General features: G+C 41.0%; 2 protein-coding genes across 6 annotated transcripts in view, besides 2 other annotated features; both read left to right on the top strand.

Annotated features, from left to right (window-relative positions):
• NOTCH2NLA (notch 2 N-terminal like A) overlaps positions 1-13,040 on the top strand; it is an 80,157-nt gene extending 67,117 nt beyond the window's left edge. For 2 of the 4 annotated variants that reach the window (NM_001364006.2, NM_203458.6), the window contains exons 4-5: positions 5,090-5,425; positions 5,676-13,040. In NM_001364006.2, coding sequence (NP_001350935.1) covers positions 5,090-5,425; positions 5,676-5,752 — 413 coding nt within the window. In that variant the 3' untranslated portion in view covers positions 5,753-13,040. Of the gene's footprint in view, positions 1-5,089 lie in introns of all 4 variants that reach the window. The other 2 variants (NM_001395231.1, NM_001395232.1) reach the window with 1 other exon arrangement.
• Positions 5,269-5,788: an enhancer, noted in NCBI's record as "H3K27ac-H3K4me1 hESC enhancer chr1:145281548-145282067 (GRCh37/hg19 assembly coordinates)". NCBI's record gives its function as "activates a minimal SCP1, AML or CMV promoter by ChIP-STARR-seq in naive H9 embryonic stem cells {active_cell/tissue: H9 hESC(naive)}" and the evidence as "EXISTENCE:reporter gene assay evidence [ECO:0000049][PMID:30033119]".
• Positions 14,489-14,676: a silencer, noted in NCBI's record as "fragment chr1:145290760-145290947 (GRCh37/hg19 assembly coordinates)". NCBI's record gives its function as "represses an EF-1alpha promoter that drives an FKBP-Casp9 reporter gene in an ReSE screen in K562 erythroleukemia cells {active_cell/tissue: K562}" and the evidence as "EXISTENCE:reporter gene assay evidence [ECO:0000049][PMID:32094911]".
• NBPF10 (NBPF member 10) overlaps positions 17,101-17,450 on the top strand; it is an 80,106-nt gene continuing 79,756 nt past the window's right edge. For both annotated transcript variants that reach the window (NM_001039703.6, NM_001302371.3), the window contains exon 1: positions 17,101-17,310. In NM_001039703.6, coding sequence (NP_001034792.4) covers positions 17,136-17,310 — 175 coding nt within the window. In that variant the 5' untranslated portion in view covers positions 17,101-17,135. The remainder of the gene's footprint in view (positions 17,311-17,450) is intronic.

The raw sequence follows: 17,450 nt of genomic DNA, 5'->3' as shown, positions 1-17,450 counted from the left end.
GTTGTAGTTGCCCATTGACCTTAATCACAGGGCATGGTAATACTAAGAGACGCCCTAATGGATCTCCTGTATTCCATGAATACTCTTTCTTACCTCCGTTCTGGAGTAGTAGACTGATTTCATCTTGATAGCCTGGGTCTTGATAGCCTTGATGTCCCAGCCAACACTGTAACGCCTTTCTTAGCCTGTTTACTTAAAGGTAGGAACCCAAAGTGTCCTGGTGGCAATCTTAACTACCAGTTTAATGGAATTGTTGTTGTGTCTTCTGATGGCAGCGTTCCTCCCTCTGGAACTAAGACCTCTAGGCCAGCAGAACTTAATGTTACGGGAACAGGAAGCAAACATTTTGCTAGTGGATCACTAGGGGTGATGGTGAGTGGTACCACTTCCATTTCCACCCCTTGATTCCTGGACCTGTGAATCCTGGCTATGGGAGAAACAGTACCACATATTGGACGCTGATTCAGAGCATACACAGCCTTCTTGAGAACTTTGCCCCAACCCTGCAAAGTATTCTCACCTAGTTGGCATTGTAATTGTGACTGCAAAAGGCCATTCCACCGTTCTGCTTCAGGATGTTGGGGAACATGGTAAGACCAGTGAATTCCATGAGCATGAGCCCACTGCTGCACTTCTTTAGCCATAAAGTGAATGCCTTGGTCAGAGGCAATGCTGTGTGGAATACCATGACAGTGGATAAGGCATTCCATGAGTCCGCGGATGGTAGTCTTGGCAGAACCATTGCATGCAGGATAGGCAAACCCATATCCAGAGTAAGTGTTTATTCCAGTAAGGACAAACATCTGCCCTTTTCACAATGGAAGAAGTCCAACATAATCAACCTGCCACCAAGTAGCTGGCTGATCACCCTGAGGAATAGTGCCATATCAAAGGCGCAGTGTTGGTTTCTGCTGCTGGCAAATTGGGCACTCTGCGGTGGCAGTAGCCAGGTCAGCTTTCCACCGGCCCATCTTGTTTTCTGCACTGGGAAGGTGGGGCATGAGCACAAATGTTAGGACCTGAAAGGTGGTGAACTCTGCCTGGGCAGGGCAAAGCCAGAGGAAACTCTGGTGGAGGTCCGTAGCAGTCCTGATGTGCAAATCGGTCATCCAACCTGGGTGTAGGGGCGAAAGACTAATTGAACCATCTAGTAGCTGGTTCCCTCCAAAGTTTCCCTCGGGATAGCTGGCACTCTCGCAAAAACCCCACTCTTGGTACCAATTTACTGTATTAGTCCATTTTCACGCTGCTGATAAAGATATCCCCGAGACCGGGAAGAAAAGAGGTTTAATTGGACTTACAGTTCCATATGGCTGGGGAGGCCTCAGAATTATGGTGGGAGGCAAAAGGCACTTCTTTCATGGTGGTGGCAAGAGAAAATTAGGAAGAAGCAAAAGCAGAACCCCTGAGAAACCCATCAGATCTCATGAGACTTATTCACTCTCATGAGAATAGCACAGGAAAGACTGGCCCCCATGATACAGTTACCCCACTGGGTCCCTCCCACAACACATGGGAATTCTGGGAGATACAATTCAAGTTGAGATTTGGGTGGGGACACTACCAAACCATATCATTCATCAAAAGGTGTTGGTGGGGTAGAGGGTAGTTAGGATGATCCATGATCTCCATCATGATGATGATGGTATTGATGATGTAAGTCACTGAAAATATTTGGTGTTATAAGAATAATTTCTTCCTGATTGTCAGTTTTGAGTTGTTTTGCTATTAGGAGGCAAAGTAGGGGGGCATATACCCACTTAAAATATTTTAATTCTGGCTAGTGGAAATGACAGTAATGCCTTCTTCATAATTAAAATGTCACTCTGAAATGGTCCCAAATTAAAACTTCTTCCTTTGTTGTTAAGAAGGATCTCTTCTTGGTGTGTTCTGCAAGATTCTGATCACCTTTTTTTTTTTTTTTTTTTTTTTTTTTTTGAGATGGAGTATTGCTTTGTCATCCAGGCTGGAGTGCAGGGTGCAATCTCGGTTCACTGCAAGCTCCACCTCCCGGGTTCACGCCATTCTTCTGCCTCAGCCTCCTGAGTAGCTGGGACTACAGGCACCTACCGCCATGCCCGGCTAATTTTTGTATTTTTAGTAGAGATGGGCTTTCACCTTGTTAGCCAGAATGGTCTGGATCGCCTGACCTCATGATCCACCCGCCTCGGCCTCCCAAAGTGCTGGGATTACAGGTGTGAGCCACCACACCCGGCCGATTCTGATCATCTTTTATACATATGCTATTTTTGTCTATCACTTTAGGAATCATCACAGATCAAGGTCATCCTTTTGGTTTTTGTGATAGCGCTATACCTCAGTCAGCTTACTAGCTCATCTCCACTCAGAGATGAAGAAGCATAGGCAGCAAGTTAGTGCCTATACATAATATATATGGAAACCAAATTCAGGGTTGATTCTTTCTTTCTTTCTCCCTTCCTTTCTTTCTTTCTTTCTCTTTCTTTCTTTCTTTCTTTCTTTCTTTCTTTCTTTCTTTCTTTCTTTCTTTCTCTCTCTTTCTCTCTTCCTCTCTCTTTCCCTCTCTCTTTCTGTCTTTCTTTCTTCTCACTCTGTTGCTTAGTACAGTGGCGCAGTCTCGGCTCACTGCAACCTCCACCTCTTGGGTTCGAGTGATTCTTGTGCCTCAGCCTCCCAGGTAGCTGGGATTACAGGCATGCGCTATGAAGCCCGGCTAATTTTTGTATTTTTAGAAAAGATGGCGTTTCACCGTGTTGGCCAGGCTGGTCTCAAACTCCTAACCACAAGTGATCTGCCCACCTCAGCCTCCCAAAGTGCTGGGATTACAGGCATCAGCCACCACTTCCGGCCCGGGGATCTTTCTGTTTCAGTTGTGGGCATCACTCTGAAAATCACACTTGCTAGAAGTGAGCATTTATATCTCTTCTCCACTGTAAATAAGTGCCTCTTAGTGACATGAGTGGAAAGACAAGAAGAATTGCAGTTCCTTCATTTTCTGTCTTAGCTCCCTGAGATGTATATGCTGTGCCTAAATTTGTGTTATAGTTTTCTCCTTTGATTTGACATTCCTTGATAGGCAGAGAGCACTTTTCTGTGCTCATATGTCACATCTCGCATCTTTTTCCCTTATAGAAAAACTCTTGTGTCTCCCATTTACCTTTCTATGAGGTCAGAGATTTAGATACTTTCCTAGACAATCAACTGGAGTATTAACAAATTCAAGGAGTTCTCGCCATCCCATTACTGGGTATATACCCAAAGAATTATAAATCGTGCTGCTATAAAGACACATGCACACGTATGTTTATTGCGGCACTATTCACAATAGCAAAGACTTGGAACCAACCCAAATGTCCATCAATGATAGACTGGATTAAGAAAATGTGGCACATATACACCATGGAATACTATTCAGCCATAAAAAAGGATGAGTTCATGTCCTTTGTAGGGACATGGATGAAGCTGGAAACCATCATTCTCAGCAAACTATTGCAAGGACAAAAAACTAAACACCGCATGTTCTCACTCATAGGTGGGAATTGAACAATGAGAACACTTGGACACAGGAAGGGGAACATCACAAACCGGGGCCTGTCGTGGGGTGGTGGGACGGGGGAGGGATAGCATTAGGAGATGTACCTAATGTAAATGACGAGTTAATGGGTGCAGCACACCAACATGGCACATATATACATATGTAACAAACCTGCATGTTGTGCACGTGTACCCTAGAACTTAAAGTATAATAATAATAATAATAAAAATTCAAGGAGTTCTTATCTCTGTAGTTTAAATAATAAGCGACTTAGACTAATGACAACAAAAAGCCAGCCATGTGAATACCAAATTTACTAGTTCTGTGAGGATATTTTTTTCTCTTTCTCTTTCTGCCTCAAAGAATCTGCTTTGCTTCCCCTGGCATCATGATTTAGTTTTCAACCCGTCAGAGTCTTCCTGCTAGTGCTGGTACTTTCCTACTTGAGAAAGTCCACGGAATACCTTCGAGACCTCTGTCCTCCTGATGGCTTCTATTTCATTTGTTATATAGGGACCCAGAGGTCCTTCATCATTTTCAAACACATCAACAGATATTTATAGCAAGGCCACAATTAATAAAATGTTTCCCAGAATATATGTGTGTGTTACATTTAGAGGAAACAGAAGTAGTATTGACTTGTTTCTATCACCAGAGGTCTATTTAGTAACTATATTTTGTGGAAAATATCGATATATTTTATCCATTCAACAGACATGATTTGAGAGCATACCACGGAGACCCAACCCTGCCAGTGTGGCAGGTGGTATAATAGAAGAAAATAGCAAACTTGGTGTATCTGTCTTTGCGCACATGTATGTATGTGAGGGGCACTAAGGATGACTTTACAGAGGTTGGAACTTTTGAGTAGAGTTGCCAAGATAGGGAGAGTTCACTAGGAAAACAGAAGGGAAGTTGATTTTTTTTTTTTTTTGAAATGGAGTCTTGCTGTGTCGCCCAGGCTGGAGTGCAGTGGTACAATCTCGGCTCACTGCAACCTCCGCCTCCTGGGTTCAAGTGATTCTTCTGCCTCAGCCTTCCAAGTAGCTGGGATTACAGGTGCGCGCCACCATGCCCAGCTAATTTTTGTATTTTTAGTAGAGACAGGGTTTCACCATATTGGCCGGGCTGGTCTTGAACTCCTTACCTCATGATCTGCCTGCCTCGGCCTTCCAAAGTGCTGGAATTACAGGTGTGAGCCACTGCTCCTGGCCCGGAAGTTGATATTCAAACAGGAGCAGCATATGCAAAGACAGTGAGCTCTGAGAGAGTAGATGGATCCAGACTCCTATTGCTGATAGCGTCCTGCAGGATTGGGCTTCAATGTGACTAACCTACAATTGCCTCCAGGTGCTCCACCCACTGAGTCCTTGTGTCTCTGCTGAGGTCCTTGGAGAGTTACTGGAGAGGGCTCTGTGTCAGATGACCTTGAGGAGGCTCTGATTTAGCCTTTTGTAAAATGCAAAGAGTTGAGGTCTTCTCCACGCAAGAGCTCGCTGATGTCAATGAGGTATTGAGGATGGGGCCATCTCCTATTTCTGTGGCCAGTACTGAGTTTTGTTATCCTTCCTTTAGGTAAGGAGTGCCAATGGACCGATGCCTGCCTGTCTCATCCCTGTGCAAATGGAAGTACCTGTACCACTGTGGCCAACCAGTTCTCCTGCAAATGCCTCACAGGCTTCACAGGGCAGAAGTGTGAGACTGATGTCAATGAGTGTGACATTCCAGGACACTGCCAGCATGGTGGCACCTGCCTCAACCTGCCTGGTTCCTACCAGTGCCAGTGCCTTCAGGGCTTCACAGGCCAGTACTGTGACAGCCTGTATGTGCCCTGTGCACCCTCGCCTTGTGTCAATGGAGGCACCTGTCGGCAGACTGGTGACTTCACTTTTGAGTGCAACTGCCTTCCAGGTAAGGAGCTCCCTAGTGTCCCAGGATTAGGGGACAAACCCCTAGCACAGGAGGTAGTGGGTGTGGCTCAATTGCTTTTTTTAGGAAGCGCAAGGAAAAAGGGAAGTGAGAATTTTGTGTGGGGTGGGTTGCTAGTGAGGGAGGAGTTTTATGGGCCCACTGTGGTCCATAAACTGAGCAGGGGATAATTTAGCATGTCAGGGTTTATGATGATGAGTGGCTAGAAAATTGTTTATTGTCCCTTTTGTAGAAACAGTGAGAAGAGGAACAGAGCTCTGGGAAAGAGACAGGGAAGTCTGGAATGGAAAAGAACACGATGAGAATTAGACACTGGAAAATATGTATGTGTGGTTAATAAAGTGCTTTAAACTGAATTGACATTAACAGTGGGTGATCAACTTTACTATGTGCTTGTGCTTTTGCTTTTGATGGAGTAATTCATTGTTTTCTTATCCACCTAAATGCACCCAGCTGCCCTTGATTTTCTCTGGGCTACTGGCCTTCACAACCCTCTCCCATGTACCCTCTCTGACTTTGGGGTAACCCTCCCCTAACTTAAAGCTAGAGAATTCTGAAACTGAGGAGGGGATCCTCTGTTAATCAGTGAGCACTTTTTGATGAGCTGATAGATGATATATGAGAGACTATGCGTGGCACAATACTTTGTTACACTCTTCACTGATACAAGTGTTCTAGAGTGTACACACAACCCAAAGATAGAAATAAAAAGAGGAGCAGTGTCGGGGAGCTTGGGGCCTGGTGTTCCATGGAGAGGGAGAAAGGAACAAGCTTGACCAATTCATTCAACTCCTTATAAAAATGATGAGGAGGCTGAAAACCAAGAATTTTGATTGGGAACAGAATACAAGCAGCTGAATCAGATGAATTACTAAGCAACAAAGATCCTGTTTTTATACAAATATCCTTAGTACAAAAACAAAAGAAGGAAAACTGTAGGGGGGAGTAATGTGCTAAGTAAGCAGAATTGCCTCAAAAAGAAGTTGTTCTAGTTACTCTTTCAGAGTGGGAATCTTAGATTCTGGTATTGTGGATATGGTTCACATATAATGGGATTGTGTGTTTTATTTTGGAGGGATTAAAGGTCATAGTTTGGTCCTCAGTATAAAATCAACTGGTAATTTATTCATTTCATTTGGTAAAAATGTATTGACTGCCTGCTATGTTCTAGGCACCATGCTATGTATTTGGAATACAGCTATACAAAGCATTGTCACATAATTGAAATGAAAATTTTATATTATTTAAGTCACAAGAACAAGCTATTTAATTATATTACTTTTAGTTTCTCTTTTAATAAAGAATAGATAATGCTATCATTCTAGATACTAAATAAGTATTTTCTTAACATAATATTACTATCCACTTTATCTTGTAGAAGAAATAACTAAAATACATCTGTCTTCACTCCTGTATTTGTTTGCATTTTAAGGATTAAAGACAGAAATAGAAATGTAAACAACTTTATTTTGAAAATATTTCAACACTGCAAATATCTCTGGGTCTGATATTCTAGTAATCTAATTGGCTAGTAATTGATGTTAGTGTGATTTATTGTTGAAGGCTAAATGTGTTTTTCAGTTTCAAGAAAATTGCTTTTAATAATTGCCTAGAACAAGAGGTTGATTTGGCAGCAAGATGTTGACGGGAAGTTAGAGAAGTCAATAAAGGAAGTTTTTAGCTGAGAGAGAGTGATTATTCACTCCCATAGCCTCTGCATTGTTATCCATTAGCCACGATAAGAACCTTAGGGAATTCTGAGAGTGTGTCCAGGAAAGGATCTGTCAAACTAGAATAGTATCTCCTCCTTGAGAAAGGAAATAACCAAGGATTCCGCAGCTGAGAGGCTGCCAGGGCTAGTGAAATAGAGTAAGGAAATCTTGGCTGTCTCTTATTCTCTGGTTGTAGTTTAACGCAAGACACTTATTTACTCACTGATGGTGTGTGTGTGTGTGGGAGGGGAGATTAGCATGAGGGGTGGGAATGGGGAGATTCGATGAAGAGAAAACTAACATTTTTTTGGTGACTCAGGAACTGTGCCAGGTACTTCCATGCTTATTAGCTCAATTACACAAAAATCTTGGGACCAGGTATTATTTTTCAAGTCTTCCCACATGAAGTAACTGAAGTTTGGAGATGTTAAGTGATTCACCCAAAGTTGTACAGCTAATATGTGGTTAGGCTGGGTCCTGAAACCGAGGCAGTTTATTTTCAAAGCCTTTGCTTTGTGCATCTTACTGCGCCACATTGCACTGCACATCTGCTTCCTGAAAGCACTTTGTAGGTGTGTAAAACTTTTCGTTAAATGCTTTAAGCTGTTTGGGTTAAAAATATATGTTCATGTTATAAGAAAACCAAGACACTCCTAATTATAATCAAATAGTACTTGTTACATATCAATATGTGTGTGTGTGTGTGTGTGTGTGTGTGTGTGTGTGTGTGTGTGTGTGTGTGTATGGCGTTGTGCAGATGTTTAAAAGTAGTTACATAGACTAGTTCTTGCTTTTCAGGGTCCCATAATCTAAACCAGATGACTTCAGCTTTGGATAAATATATAGAAGGAAATTTAAAGAGAATTCAAAACAATAGATGATGCAGTGACACTGTGAATAAATGTTATTTATACAGTTTGTAAGATTTCATGCTCATTGTTCATATGTCCCAGGTGGAGTTCAGAAAATATTCTCTTCATTTCCACAAAGGGGAATAGTGCCTGGAGATGGTTTTCTTTTAAAAAGTCCTTTTCATAATGCAGTGCCCTTCCTTCCATTGCCCTTCATTCCATTGCTTCCCATGCTTGTCAAGAGACTAAAATGTTACTTATAGTAATAGTCACTATCTCAATGTAAATAGCACCCTTATTTGATGAGAATTATTATTTCAGTTCTAAAAATGGGGAAACAAAGTCAGCAGGAGGCAAAGTAGCTTGTTAAAGTATTCTGCAACTTTCAAATGGTTGCTTCCACTGCATTTCACGTCTTGGCACTTCTAATTGAGGGTTACTCTAACCACCCTATTTAAAATTGTAACTGTCCCCCACCCCCTTAATTACTAACCCTGGTCTACTTTTTGTTTTCTTTTTCTGTAACTCTTATCTTCTTACTATATAATTTATACTATATAATTTACTTCATTATGTCTATTGTTCATTGTCTGTCTTTTCCAAATTCTACTGCCTCTTACCCTCTCCAGAATGAAAACTAGTATCTTTGTTTTTGTTTACTGATGTAACCCAAACACCTACAAACAGTGCCCAGTATATACTAGGCCCACAAATATATATTGGCTGACTGACTGTATGGTTTAGTATCATGTCATAGTATTGAGACTGTAACTTTGGTCTTCTCATTTTCTTCTTTGTATTGTGCGTCCTAGACTTAGTTTGGCCTCTCCTTTTGTCCTTGTATACTCTAATACTGGATAAGAATTTTGGAGTCTTTTTCAACTCTGAGTCAGTGAATGCCACATAACTTAGTGACTATATTTAAATGGTTAATTTACAATTTTTTCCCTGCAAAGGATACTGTAGTCACTGTGAGTATTTTAGTATTATTGTAGGACTCAAGAGGGAATTAAAACTACAAAAATGACTCCTCTTGTATGACACAGAAAGAAATGTTTCTTCACAGAGGGAGGAGAAAAATATCTTCAAGAGAGAACTAATAGAATCAAATCAATGAACCATGTCTCATCTTTTTGGATAAGTAACTGTTAGTAATCCAGACACTTCATGAGCTTTCATTATGTAAAGTCTTTAGCAGAAGCTAAAGGAGGGGCACCAACCACAGTAATTTTAACTTAAGAACAAAATGGAGCATGAAAATAAATTATTAAATCATTTACTCCCACTATTTTTGGGTTAGGGCCAATAATGGGGAGAGAAAGAGGTAGACTAGTTTTGTGTTTGTGGCTATTTTAATAGAGTAGCACAAGTAATCAAAAAACAGTAGGCTGTTTTGAATTTACTGGCTGTCCCTTATGAGTTCACAGTTAGATTGGACTGTCCTCAATGTACTTTCTTTTTTTTCTTTCTTTCCCACATCTCTTTATTTCTCTGATTTTGTTTAAACTTCATAAAGAGCTCTCTGATCTTTCCTTTCCAAACAATGAAGGTTTATCCTTTGTAAACTACCTCTGTACTCCACAGGCTGATGATATGTGATATCCCTATATCATTAAAGTAAAGCCTAAGCACATTCTATGGCTTTTGTGTCTACTCTGTTGTTGCTGAGCTTATGAACTATTAGAAATAACTCCCTCTTGCATTTTCACACATGGGGAATGTGATGTTCTCTTGGGTATTATGCTAATCATATTTTGGCAGGTTTCTCTGGAGCAGATGCAGAAATGATCATACCACTTTCCAGGGTGTATTATTTTAGCTCCTTTGACTTGGGCCCTAAGTCTGTTTTACCTGATGTTCCTGAAAGATGTTCCTGATGTCCTTCACTGTTCTTTCATGCTGGATGTTCTTGCCTATGCTGCCTCCTCAGCTATCACCCTCTCTTCCCCTTTTTAATGTAGAACTCATTCTTAATGATTTGTCAAAGGCACCCTATTTCACTGAAATGCCTTCTATATTCCCTACCCTCCAAGTGGATTGTAGACCTTCTAAGGTCTTTTGACATCTGCATATCTCTAGCACAGCACTTATCACGGTGATTATTTATCTGTTCATCTTTCCAAGTAGACACTCTCATTTTAACTCCCTACCCTAGTCGCCAGCATCCCCAGCATAGTGCCTGTCATAAAATGGTGCCACAATGAAAATTTGAAAAATGAATGAACGTGATAAACATAGATGAGAATCCTATATTCTACAATTTTTTAAATGTACTGAAATTATTCTTTTTGAATCCTCCTATTTATTTCTGTGACTTCTTTGATGACAAAGTTAGAAAAAAGTGGAGGTCAGTAGGGAGATATGAAGGGACGCAGGTGGAAGCAGTGAGCCTGGGCGGGTGATGGAGTGGGAGATACGTGGCACAGGGGTCAGTGAGTTAATCTGGGCTCATTCAGAGAATGGAAGGTGTGTGCCAAGAAAACTGGTTGGATAGGGATAGGTCAGGGATTCCCTCTTGCATTCTCACACTTGGGGGCATGTGTCATTTTCTTTTCTTTTCTTTTTTTTTTTTTTTTTTTTTGAGACGGAGCATCGCTCTTTCTCCCAGGCTGGAGTGCAATGGTGCTATCTCGGCTCACTGCAACCTCCACCTCCCGGGTTCAAGCTATTCTCATGTCTCAGCCTTCCAAGTAGCTGGGACTACAGGTGCCTGCCACCATGCTCAGCTAATTTTTGTATTTTTAGTAGAGATGGGGTTTCACCATGTTGGTCAGGTTGGCCTCGAACTCCTGATCTCAGGTGATCCACCTGCCTCGGCTTCTCAAAGTGCTGGGATTCCAGGCATGAGCCACCATGCCTGGCCGCATGTGTCATTTTCTTGGGTGTTATACTGATCGTATATTTGCAGGTTTGCTTTTGTGACAGACTTCTTCTGGGGGAAAAAAAGTATCCTTCTATCTTTTTACTTTTGTCCAGTTCCAGGTATCCCTGTTTTTTTCTTCACTCTTCCTTCCTTGTTCATGGGAGTTTTTCTTGAGGACTTCAAGCCCAGCTTCGGAGAATCCTGGTTGTGTCATCTCATCTCCTTTCTGCTCTCTTCTCTACCTAGCCTTTCCACCCTCACACCTCCCGGGGTCTGAAAATGGAAAGATAAGGGTGTTTCCCTGAAAGTTGCTCTTCTGTGTGGGGATGACAGGTTCTAAAGACTCTTTTCTGGTCCCTGCCCTCATTGCCATGATTAATCAGTTAAGTGGCCCGAGGTTTTATAACAGCACAGTCTTAAAATGCTTCTCCCAAGTTTAATTTCTCTCCATTTGACCTTTTAAGGATGTGAATTGGCTTTAAGCAGTAGACTCCCTTTAGTACGGTGCTGTGAGCCTCTCAGTGAATCTGCTACATCCATTCCACCCACGGGTCTGGAAACTTGTCTGTTTACCTTTCCCTAAAAACCTAAGATATATTTTTAAGAAGTGCCTTGTAACTTTTCATATAGCCTTTCCCCTACTTTGGGTAGACTGTTTCTTACAGGAATTTGGTAGATCTTTCCAAAGAGAATTCTGTATCTGTATTTTTAAAGCATAAATCCTGTCAACTTTGGAGGAGAACTGATTTGGCTTGAGTTTTCTCAGACATGGGAACTTTTGACCTAAGTTTGTATTTTACATTGTTGAAAGGGAACTCCGGGATCCCAGAAAACATATGGACTGCAATTGGGTAAAGTTTCTGTTCCAGAAATGCCTCTTCTGGACATTTCATACAAATGGAAACATGCAGCATGTAGTAATTTATGACAGCTTCTTTCACTTAGCATGAGGTTTTCAAAGTTCATTGATGTGGTAGCATTTGTCAGTACTCTGTGCCTTTTTATGGCTGAATAATATTTTATCATATGGATTTACCACATTTTATCATTTTATTTATCCATCATCAGTTGATTGACATTTGAGTTGCTTCTACTTTTTGAGTATTATCAATAATTCTGTTATGAACATTCTTGTATAATTTTTTGGTAGACATTTATCTTCATATTTCTTGGATATATACCTAGGAGCAGAATTGCTGCGTCAGATGGTAATGCTGTTTAACCTTTTCAGGAACTGTCAGACTGTTCTGAAGTGGGTACATTATTTTACATTCCAACCAGCAGTGTATGAGAATTCCAGTTTCTCCACATCCTCATCAACAGTTGTTATTGTCTGTCTTTTTTATTATATTCATCTGTAATGTGAAGTGTTTATCTCATTGTGGTTTTGATTTACATTTCCCTGATGGTTGATGATTTTCAACATCTTTTCATATACTTATTAGTCATTATGTATCTTCTTTGGAGAATGTCTGTTCAGATCCTTTACCTACTTTATAATTGGTTTATCTTTTTAATATTGAACTGTAATAGTTTTTAAAAAATATATCCTAAATACAAGTCTCTTATCAGATAATATGATTTGCAGATATTTTCTGTCATTCTATGTACTGTCTTTTCACATTCTTGATGATATACTTTTCAGCCCAAATGTTTTTAACTTGATGGAATACAATTTATTTTTTCTTTTGTTGCTTGTGCTTTCAGTCATATTTGTGAAAACTTTGCTTATCCCACATTACAAAGATTTACTATTTCTAAGTGATTTATAATTTTACCACCTACCTTTAGGTCTCTGATCCATTTTGAGTTAATTTTTATGTGCGAGGAGGGAGTCTAACTTGATTCTTTTACATGTGGATATTTAGTTGTCCCAGGACCATTTGTTGAATTAAGTGCCCAGAACAAGTACATCTATATATAGAGAAAGTAGATTAGTGGTTGTCAGAGACTGTAAGAAGTGGGGAATTGGAGAGTGACTGCCCATAGGTACAGGCATGCTTTTTGGCATTATGAAAATATTCTGGAATTAGGTAGTGGTGATGGTTGCAGAACTTTTGGAATATGGTAAAAGACACTGAAATATATGCTTAAAAATGGTGATTTTTGTGATATATGAATTATACTATAGAACTAATAATAACAGTAATAAAGCAAGGTGTCTTTCCACATCTCCATGCCTTGTATTTTCATTAAAAAAAAAAAAAAAAAAAGCATTTCAGGGCCAGGCTCAGTGGTTTACTCTTGTAATCCCAGCACTTTTGGAGGCCTAGGTGGGAGGATCACTTGAGGCCAGAAGTTCAAAACCAGCCTGAGCAACATAGCAAGACCTTGTCTCCATGAAAAATAAAAAATTAGCCAGAAATGGTGATGTGTGCCTAGAGTTCCAACTACTTGGAAAGCTGAGGCAAGAGGATCGCTTGAGCCTAGGAGTTCAAGGTTGCAGTGATCTATAATCACCACTGCACTCCAGCCTGGGTGACAGAACAAGACCCTGTCTCAAAAAAAAAAAAAAAAAAAAAAAAAAGGCATCTCACTTTAATAGTAAGAGGCCAGAATATGATGCTGGCAGCATGTTGTGAGGAAATGTATTAGATGAAAGAAGTTAAATTCCAGTTCTCCTTTTTTCAGAAATGAGGTATAGGGGAGAGAAACACGTACTTTGAAAGAATTGACCCAGCTGAATTGGAAAATGTGGGAAGGGGATGGGGAAGAGGCTGCTCCACCTGAGATCTGGCTCCAGGACTTACAGCAAGGGGAACTTGGGCAAGTTACAGACTGTCTATGCCTCAGTTTCTTTATCAGCAAAACAGAATCATCCCATAAACTATAAGGTCGATGGTATCAGCGGGTCCCCAAACTGACTGCACATCTGAGTCATGTTAACAAACACATTCCAGGCCCCACCTGAGCCCTCTGAATCAGAATCCCTGTAAGGAGGATGATGAACTTGAATTTGCACTGACTTTCCCAGCTGTTTCTTACTCTGATCAACTTGGGGGTAGGACCCATTGAGCTGCATCACATCATTCCAAAGCCAAAACACAACAGCAGGACAAGAATATTTTCAAGGCAGTCTCTAAAGCAGAGGAGAAACTGTTGAGGGAACTTAGAAGTAAAGGAGATCTGGCTTGCTGGGCTCCATTTGAACTTTGAGTACAACAGAGACATGAGCCCTTCGGGACACATGCCTGAGGTAGTGACAATCCAACTTTGGAAGAGTGGAAGCCCTAGTTTCAAATTCAAGCATGCTTTGAGTATAAATTAAGTTTACCTCTTTTTGCACAGCAACATGGCCAATCTTTCCTAAGCTGCTCAGCTTACAAGAAAAGGAATCATACTGCTAAGAATTCAAACTTCAGCAGTCATAGGTAAGTAAGGAAGTCTTATAAACCTATTCTAGCCACCTAACCAGAAACTCGAAATTTAGCAGGTTCTTTCAGTTTCAGGACAGTTGTGTTCACTAGATCAGAGGCATTGAGACATGAAGAACAGACCCTTAAAAAGGGAAAGTGTTCCCTTCAGTTTGAGGACATCACTGGAACATTAGGGAAGTGGGAACACAGCTGCTCACTCTACAGTGTGGGTTGCCTTTGTGTCTGGAATGTGTCTGACGTCCTGATCCCTGTGCACATTTCAGGGAGCCTTGGGAGGACCCCGAATCACTGATGGAATTGCGCAGTGCATGGAGATGGCTCAGCAGGATGAGGGTAAATGCAGGGGCAAGTCCAGGCCATACTGAGAGACAATGAGTGGCGCTGATGAGGACAAAGATAAAATCAAAAGTTTGTGCTTCATCTTCAAAAACTCAAGCTGATAACAAACTTGGCCTGATGAGAAATAATAAGTATTTTTCTATTTACATGAGAATTTAATCTCAAAACAGAAATCAGAAAAATATGAAGTCCAGGGCATAAAACCTAAAACTATTGCTCATATTTATTCTTTCTAAATAGAGCAAAGTGTACAATCTTCTCCATAAGACATACATTGTGGTTATAAAAAGGCAAAAGTCTTAGTGAGAATCATTGGTATTCCATAGAAGAGTGAATTAAACACAGCCAAGGGAAGACCCACGTCTCATACTTCTCTTGTATATTCCAAAGTTCCAGGGAAATTCCAGGTGATAGAGGTTATTTCCCATACTGTTAAAGCAAGGTTTCAGACACTTCTGAATTTTGGTCCCAGTACTCTAGAAGGGCACACCTCTGTCCTGGAAAATAATACAAGAATGAATACTCTTCCCGTGACCCATTCTGGTCATTCTTCCAGCATCACAAAAACCAAAAAATGGAAATATGGCCAAATACGTGATTAGCTGTCCCTCATCTTCAGGTTTCTTATCTGTTACTTATAGATAATAGCATTACCTTAAGGATTATGATGAAGATACAATGTCCAAATATAAACACAGTTTTGAGCAAAATGCCTTGTACGAATTGGTCAATGAATAATTACTAAATATGTGAATATTTACTGGATTGTATGGATCCTATGAATAATTACTGAATAATTATTGTGATTGCTTTTATTGGCAGTGCTGAAAACTCATCCCTTTGTGACCTCAAGTAACCCATGACACTTTGTGAACCTGCAGTTTTTTCATTTAGAAACTTGACAGATTTTCATTCTGACACAGAATGTCAGGTCTCCCAGACCCTAGAAAATACATTGACTTAAAGCCTTTGATACATCTCAAAGCAGTATCCTTACAGTGTCACTGGAAGATGGTGCGGGCTGCAGAGAGGGATGCTTTCAAATGGGATTAACCAGTCCTCCTTCCTTCACTTCCACATGAATGCTGGGCAGCCCAGGGTCAACCCACTGCACCCTCAACTCAGGCAAGTCCAGCAGCCAATCTTAGGAGACCTGGGCTACAGAACAGTCTCTCAAGTTCCAGGCTCACAAAACCTAGGTGGGGATGAAAGCTGAGAAAGCGAAGAGGTGGTTCAGGGGATCACTCTTTCCTACTTGTTCCTCTCACCTCAAACTCACCTTCTACTGCACAGCAACACTGAGGATCGCCAACCAACCCTGACCATAACCTTGATCTTGCCATGTTCTGTTAGTGGAATGCAACCCAAAATCAATGGTGTTAGGTCATCTCAACAAAATATATATCAAACCATATTCCATAAGAACTGCTCGTGGCCCTGTTCTTTTCAGTATATGGGAAAACAAAATGGAAACAACAAAATAGCATCAGGTTTACAAAACTTCCCAAGATAGATGGTCACACATGTTTTCAGGAGACCTCTATATAAATGACTTTGATCACTTGATACCTTGAAAAGAGGTCTTGGGGCACTAGAATGACATCTATAAGTGACAAGTATAAAATGTAGTGCTCAGTGACATTAAAAAACAAATCAACCCACATAGAGGAAGAGCTTTGGACGTAGGGATGTCAAACTGGTCTAGAATGTAATGAAAACCCAAGAAGGTGCCCCAGTAAGAAAGAAGAAATCAATCTAACAATGGGATGCAGCAGCAAGAATACTGAGACAGGAAAGAAAATATTTTAAAAAAATGAATTATTCATTCACTTTCTAGTGGATACAGAAAAAACTGCAGAAGACCCGGAGGATATCAGGGCAGGCTAAAAGTTTGATATCTTACACCTGTGGAAAAGCCTTAAGCTCTGTTTTAACTGAGAGCAGGTGGGGTGACTTCATGACTACCATTAAGAAAATATAACCTGTTGGGAAACTGTTTCTGCCTTGATGATGTTGTACAGACAAGAGATAAACAGTGAGGAATATGCTTAGATGTATTGGGAAAGACACGGGTCTGTGGCATTGTCACAAGGGTACACGAATACTGAGAGTGAATGCTGAAGGAATGATCCCCATTGGTGGTGACCCTCAGGTGAGAGTAGGGTGCCTGTGTTTCAGCAAAGCCTGGGCAATTGGAATGCAGAGCTCCTAAGATTCCATGACACCCCCACCTTCTAATTCTGTTATTGCAACTGCAGACGGTTACCTGGCACGCTGGCCACATTCTGCCTCACTCTTATCAGAGTCTGAGCTACTGGCAGTGCTTTCAGCTCTGAGTTGAGGCACCTCGAACCTTGTTTTTGTGGTGAAGGATCCTAAAGTGCTGTGGGGAGTGATCACATTTTTCACAACAGTAAGTTAAGAATTTCAGTTACTGACATCCCTCAGTCCTCATTAAACCGATTTGATTTCACCAGTTTTTAACCCATCATATGTTTGGGTTTCTTCTCCCCAGTCCCTGACTCCACCTCTTCTGCCACAAACGTCAGCATGGTGGTATCAGCCGGCCCTTGGTCCAGTGAGAAGGCAGAGATGAACATTCTAGAAATCAACGAGACATTGCGCCCCCAGCTGGCAGAGAAGAAACAGCAGTTCAGAAGCCTCAAAGAGAAATGTTTTCTAACTCAACTGGCCGGCTTCCTGGCCAACCGACAGAAGAAATACAGTAAGATCTATAGGCTCACCATCATGAAAGTGATGAATGATATCCTGTCTTCTCTCTGAGACACTAAATGCTCTCTCCATCAAAAATAATTTCATCCTTCCTGTACTTCTAGGAAAACAGAAATGGGTATTTTAACATTT

The sequence above is a fragment of the Homo sapiens genome, chromosome 1, assembly GCF_000001405.40.
Source record: "Homo sapiens chromosome 1, GRCh38.p14 Primary Assembly".
NCBI classification, from domain to species: Eukaryota; Metazoa; Chordata; class Mammalia; order Primates; family Hominidae; genus Homo; species Homo sapiens.
This window is presented reverse-complemented; position numbering and strand designations above follow the sequence as displayed.